Raw genomic sequence first — 6750 nt, 5'->3', positions numbered from 1 at the left:
ACTACATCATGACAATTTCGAAACTTTGATTTAATTATTATTCCTTTTTGATTGTCTGATCTTAATTTTTATCCTCCCTGTTCTTTCTCAATCTTTCCTGCTCTCTCGGGCTCTTTCTATTATTTGCTAGGTCTTCATGGAGGTGGGGACAAAGAAAGGGTGGTAGCGAGGACCACGTTTGTGCCTCAGACTAAAGAACAAAAGGGTCAGAATAAAATGGCAATAGACAAAGTCCTGGGTCTACAAGCTGACAGGCCAAAGCACCTTATTTTCTCTCATTTTTATGTCTTTTTAAAAAGTACTTTAAGGTCATTAATGAAAGGTTAAATGTTAATTTTAACAAACTCCCCATGATTTAGAATTTTTGTATATCTTTCTAAAAATATTACCAAGCTGGGCTTGCTCTTGCTGTATTTGTGCCCCTAAGTACAAGGGTTACGTTCAAGCTGACAGTATCCAATACCCCGACTCTCTAACCCCAGCCTGTGACTGCAGTGTAGACATGTTTAGTAAATGTCAACCCTGAGGAACCATTTTAAAGCCCATCTACACTAAACTAGAGGAGGAAAGGAGAGATGGTATGGTTCACAAGAGACCTGAAGACAAGATGAGGTGACAAAGGCATGATCATCCATGCCTTCGGCAGTTCCTTTTTGGATTTTTCCCATGTTCCTGCCTAGCAGTGTTGGCTTCTACCAGGAGAACAGAGGTAAACAGCACAATGACAGCCCTCCCTTTTACGAGGATTCTTGTGATTACACTAGATCCAGCTGGATAATCCAGAGTAATCTCCCCATCTTGAGATCCTTAACTTGGTCACATCTGCAAAATCTCTTTGCAATATAAGGCAACATTCACAGTTCCAGGGATTCTAATGAGAACATCTCCCAGGACCATTATTCAGCCTGTCACAGTGGTAGCTTCCAAGTGACAAGTCAAATGAAGCCACAAAATACAAGGGAATAGCTTAGAATTAGGGAGCTCTAGGAAGGAAAAATTTAACATTTGATTTTATTTTCCCATATGCAGAATAAGAAACGTGTTACAAATGAGCAGACCATCAACAAATATACTCAGGTGATAGGAATTAGCATTGTGAATGTTGTAGCTTTTTTCTCTTCTTATCCAACGTTTTCACTACAATTTTTGTTTGCTTTAATTACGTAAGTGCTGTAAATCCAGGGTTGCAGTGCCCCACAGAGTCCTGCAAAACATAACAATGCTCTTTCATGAGGCTTTGATTACAATCTCGAAGTTAGCAAATGCTGCAGTGAAAGCACATTGATGTATAGATATTCAGGGAATATATCTTAACTATTTCTCTCTTTGAGGCCCTTGAGAGCAGGAGGTCCTCTGATTCATATTTTTATCTCCCACAGAGTGATACACATTCTACAGTAGACATTTGTTGTCGGGTGTTTCACGCGCGTCTGTGTGAAGAGACCACCAAACAGGCTTTGTGTGAGCAATAAAGCTGTTTATTTCACCTGGGTGCAGGTGGGCTGAGTCCGAAAAGAGAGTCAGCGAAGGGAGATAGGGGTGGGGCCGTTTTATAGGATTTGGGTAGGTAAAGGAAAAAGGGGGGTTGTTCTCTGGCGGGCAGGAGTGGGGGTCACAAGGTACTCAGTGGGGGAGCTTTTGAGCCAGGATGAGCCAGGAGAAGGAATTTCACAAGACGATGTCATCAGTTAAGGCAGAAACAGGCCATTTTCACTTCTTTTGTGGTGGAATGTCATCAGTTAAGGCAGGAACCAGCGATCTGGATGTGTACGTGCAGGTCACAGGGGATATGATGGCTCAGCTTGGGCTCAGAGGCCTGACATTCCTGTCTTCTTATATTAATAAGAAAAATAAAACGAAATAGTGGTAAAGTGTTGAGACAGCGAAAATTTTGGGGGATGGTATGGAGAGATAATGGGCGATGTTTCTCAGGGCTGCTTCGAGCGGGATTAGGGGCGGTGTGGGAAGCTAGAGTGGGAGAGATTAAGCTGAAGGAAGATTTTGTGGTAAGGGGTGATATTGTGGGGTTGTTAGAAGGAACATTTGTAATTTAGAATTATTGGTGATGGCCTGGATACAGTTTTGTATGAATTGAAAAACTAAATGGAATAAGAGAAGGAGAAAAACAGGTATAAAAGGTCTAAGAATTGGGACGACTCAGGACATCTGATTAGAGAGTGCTTAAGGAGATTCAGCATAGTCCTGCCAGCAAAGATTATTTATTTACTTCAAGAGTTAAGAGTGGCAGTTTGGGGATAGCACCAGGAGATATCAGCTGTGATGGCTTGGAGAAACAGTGTAAACCGGCAGTGTAAACAAGAGCAGGGCATGTATGAGTAGTTGAGAACAGTGAATAGGAGTATGACTAGACAGAAGATAGTAGGGATGACAAGTTTTTTTGGGGCACAGACTAAGTTGGTCTGGTGTCTGGAATGAGACTAGGGCCTAATAAAAAGGAACGTCTATACAGGAGCTCAAATGGGCTGTACCTTGTAGCATTCTGAGGACAGGTCTGACTTCTGAGAAGGGAAAGTGGTAAAAGTATTGTCTATTCCTTTTTAAGTGTGTGGCTGAGCTTGGCGAGGTGTGTTTTTAAAAGACCTTTAGTCTGCTCTACTTTTCCTGAAGACTGAGGACTGTAAGGGATATAAAGGTTTCACTGAATACTAAGAGCATGAAAAACTGCTTGGCTGATTTGACTAATAAAGGCTGATCTGTTATCAGACTGTATAGAGGTGGGAAGGCTAAACTGAGGAATTATATCTGACAGAAGGGAAGAAATAACTGCGGTGGCCTTCTCAGACCCTGTGGGAAAGGCCTCTACCTATCTAGTGAAAGTGTCTACTTAGACTAAGAGGTATTTTAGTTTTTGTGACTCGGGGCATGTTGAGTAAAGCTAATTTGCCAGTCCTGGGCGGGGGCAAATCCTTGAGCTTGATGTGTAGGGAAGGGAGGGGGCCTGAATAATCCCTGAGGAGTAGTAGAATAGCAGATGGAACACTGAGAAGTTATTTCCTTGAGGATAGATTTCCACGATGGAAAGGAAATGAGAGGTTCTAAGAGGCGGGCTAGTGGCTTGTACTATAGCATAGCCTGCCTTTGCTGGTGTGTGGCGATTAGGCCTGGTGGAACCGCCATCAATAAATCAAGTGTGATCAGGGTGAGGAACAGGAAGGAAGGCAATATGGGGAAATGGGGTGAATGTCAGGTGGATCAGAGAGATACATTCATAGGGGCCAGGTGTGGTATCAGGAATAATGTGGGAGGCCGGATTGAAGTCCGGGCCAGGAACAATGGTAATTGTGGGACTTAACAAAGAGTGAGTACAGCTGAAGGAGCCGGGGAGCAGAAAGTATATGCATCAGGTATGAGGAAGAAAATAGATTTTGGAAGTTATGAGAAATGTAGAGAGTAAGTTGAGCATAGTTTGTGATTTTGAGGGCCTCTAAAATTATTAGGGCGGCAGCAGCTGCTGCACGGAGACATGATGGCTAGGCTAAAACAGTAAGGTCAAGTTGTTTGGACAGAAAGGCTACAGGGTGTGGTTCTGGCTCTTGTGTAAGAATTCTGACTGCACTAACCATTCCTAGGAAGGAAAGGAGTTGTTGTTTTGTAAGGGATTGAGGTTTGGGAGATTAATTGGACACGATCAGCAGGGAGAGCACGTGTGTTTTTATGAGAATTATGCTGAGATAGGTAACAGATAAGGAAGAAATTTAGGCTGGACTGAAGTAATGGGGGCTGTCTGTGAAGGTTTGCGGCAGTACAGCTCAGGTAATTTGCTGAGCCTGATGGGTGTCAGGGTCAGTCCAAGTGAAAGCGAAGAGAGGCTGGGATGACGGGTGCAAAGGAATAGTAAAGAAAGCATGTTTGAGATCCAGAACAGAATAATGGATTGTGAAGGGAGGTATTGAGGATAGGAGAGTATATGGGTTTGGCACCATGGGGTGGATAGGCAAAACAATTTGGTTGATAAGGCATGGATCCTGAACTAACTTGTAAGGCTTGTCTGGTTTTAGGACAGGTAAAATGGGGGAATTGTAAGGAGAGTTTACAGGCTTTAAAAGGCCATGCTGTAGCAGACGAGTGATAGCAGGCTTTAATCCTTTCAAAGCATGCTGTGGGATGGGATATTGGCATTGAGTGGGGTAAGGGTGATTAGGTTTTAATGAGATGGTAAGTGGTGCATGATCGGTCGCCAAGGAGGGAGTAGAGGTATCTTATAGTTGTCGGTTAAGGTGGGGGGATACAAGAGGAGGACGCAAAGGAGGCTTTGGATTGTGAAGAAGGGCAGCAATGAGATGTAGCTGTAATCCAGGAATAGTCAGGGAAGCAGATAATTTAGTTAAAGTGTCTCAGCCTAATAAGGGAACTGGGCAGGTGGGGATAACTAAAAGGAGTGCTTAAAAGAGTATTGTCTAAGTTGGCAGCAATGAGATGCGGCTGTAGTCCAGGAATAGTCAGGGAAGCAGATAATTTGGTTAAAATATCTTGAGTTAATAAGGGAACTGGGCAGGTGGGGATAACTAAAAAAGAGTGCATAAAAGAGTATTGTCTAAGTTGACACCAGAGTTGGGGAGTTTTAAGAGGTTTAGAAGCCTGGCTGTCAACACCCACAACAGTTATGGAGGCAAGGGAAACAGGCCCTTGAAAAGAAGGTAATGTGGAGTGGGTAGCCTCCGTATTGATTAAGAAGGGGATGGACTTACCCTCCACTGTGAGATTTACCTAAAGCTTGGCATCCGTGATGGTCTACAGGGCTTCTGAGGCGACAGGACAGTGTCAGTCTTCAGCCACTAAGCCAAGAAGGAGTCAGAGAGCCTTGGGCCAGAGTTCCAGGGGCTCTGGGAGTGGCTGCCAGGTGAGTTGAATAGTCCGATTTCCAGTGGGGTCCCACACAGATGGGACATGGCTTAGGAGGAATCCTGGGCTGCAGGCATTCCTTGGCCTGGTGGTCAGATTTCTGGCACTTGTAGCAAGCTCCTGGGGGAGGAGGTTCTGGAGGAACACCTGGCTGCTGCAGTTCAGGCGTTTGGAAGTTCTTGTGTGCTGGAGATGTGGCTGGGGTTTGTCTCACAGTGGAGGCAAGGAATTGCAACTTTTTTCTATTATTGTACACCTTTAAGGCGAGGTTAATTAAATCCTGTTGTGGGGTTTGAGGGCTGGAATTTAATTTTTGGAGTTTTATTTAATGTCGGGAGCAGATTGAGTAATAAAATGTATATTGAGAATAAGACGGCCTTTTGACATTTTAGGGTCTAGGGCTGTAAAGTGTCTCACAGTTGCTGCCAAAGGAGTCATGAACTGGGCTGGATTTTTATATTTGATGAAAAAGAGCCTAAACGCTATCTGATTTGGGATAAAGAAAAAGGAGCATTAACCTTGACTATGCCTTTAGCTCCAGCCACCTTTTAAAGAGTAAATTGCTGGGCAGGTTGGGGAGGGCTAGTCATGGAATGAAACTGTAAGCAGGACCAGGTGTGAGGAGGGGAGGTGATAAAAGGATTATAGGGTGGAGGAGCGGAGGCTGAGGAAGAATTGGGACCGGGCTCGGCCTGGCGAGGAGCAGCCTGGGGAGGAGGGGAGAGGTCAGATTGGTCTGTAGAAAAGGAAGATTAGAAAGACTCAGCGACGCTTGGGGTTGGGACTGAGGGGACAGGTGGGAGGGAAAGAAGGAAGATTTGGGATGAGTTGCATTGGGAACAGAGACTAGAGAGGGACCGATGTGTGAAAGAATGCCTGGACGTCAGGCACCTCAGACCATTTGCCCATTTTACGACAAGAATTATTTAGATCTTGTAGGATGGAAAAATTGAAAGTGCCGTTTTCTGGCTATTTGGAACTACTGTCAAGTTTGTATTGGAGTCAAGCGGCATTGCAGAAGAAAATAAGATGCTTAGATTTTAGGTCAGGTGAGAGTTGAAGAGGTTCTAAGTTCTTAAGAATACAGGCTAAGGGAGAAGAAGGAGGAATGGAAGGTGGAAGCTTGCCCATAGTGAAGGAGGCAAGCCCAGAGAAAAGAGAGAGTAGCAACATGGAGGGAAGGGGTTCAGGGGTTCTTACCTTCCAGAAAAGTGGGAAAGGGGTTGGGGCATGGAAATAAGGGGTTGGGGCACAGAGATATTAGCAAACTGTAGCTAGAGCAATGTAATTTTCATATTAAATATTCTATGTATATGTGTGTGTACATATGGGGGTGTGTGGAATAGTGGGGTCCTCAGACAGGAAAACTGTCTTTCTCAAATCACACTCAAGTCTACGTCCTCACACATTGTAAAACGTCTGATCTCCTTCTCATTCTTGTCTGCACCTAGAGGCTGGAGAGAGCGGCAGTGGCAGAGTAGAAACGAATCCCAGGCTGCCTATTAATGAGGGGGTGGAACCTAGTTGAAAGCTCCTTGCCTGGAGAATCTCCAGCATCGTCAGCCCCATTTGTAGCCACAACCAAACTGCCACCTCCAGGTATCTGAGCCCTCGGACAAGGGTCTTCCTTCCATGAAAGCTCTCCCTCATCTGATAGCGTTGTTTGAGAAAATGGAGAGAAGAAAAGAGTGTGGAAATAGGAGGTACTATATAGGTACGATGTTATTATTCTTGACAACAATAACAATGACAGGAGGCTTGCAAATTGCACCTATGTCCACCCATTCATGCCAGGGTGGATTATCTGGCTGTCCCAGGGTCCAGGGATTCTGAGGAAAATGGCTGAGACACAGCAGTGGTTAACTTTCTGATCTAGAAGGCCAGCAA

The 6750-nt window shown here is 44.6% G+C and overlaps 2 annotated features.

The window, feature by feature from the left end:
- Positions 965-1823: an enhancer, noted in NCBI's record as "OCT4-NANOG-H3K27ac hESC enhancer chr4:109635605-109636463 (GRCh37/hg19 assembly coordinates)". NCBI's record gives its function as "activates a minimal SCP1, AML or CMV promoter by ChIP-STARR-seq in naive H9 embryonic stem cells {active_cell/tissue: H9 hESC(naive)}" and the evidence as "EXISTENCE:reporter gene assay evidence [ECO:0000049][PMID:30033119]".
- Positions 1824-2682: an enhancer, noted in NCBI's record as "OCT4-NANOG-H3K27ac hESC enhancer chr4:109634746-109635604 (GRCh37/hg19 assembly coordinates)". NCBI's record gives its function as "activates a minimal SCP1, AML or CMV promoter by ChIP-STARR-seq in naive H9 embryonic stem cells {active_cell/tissue: H9 hESC(naive)}" and the evidence as "EXISTENCE:reporter gene assay evidence [ECO:0000049][PMID:30033119]".

This window comes from Homo sapiens, chromosome 4, assembly GCF_000001405.40.
Source record: "Homo sapiens chromosome 4, GRCh38.p14 Primary Assembly".
NCBI lineage: Eukaryota > Metazoa > Chordata > Mammalia > Primates > Hominidae > Homo > Homo sapiens.
Note: the sequence above shows the minus strand (reverse complement) of the source record. Positions and strands in the feature narration are given on the sequence as shown.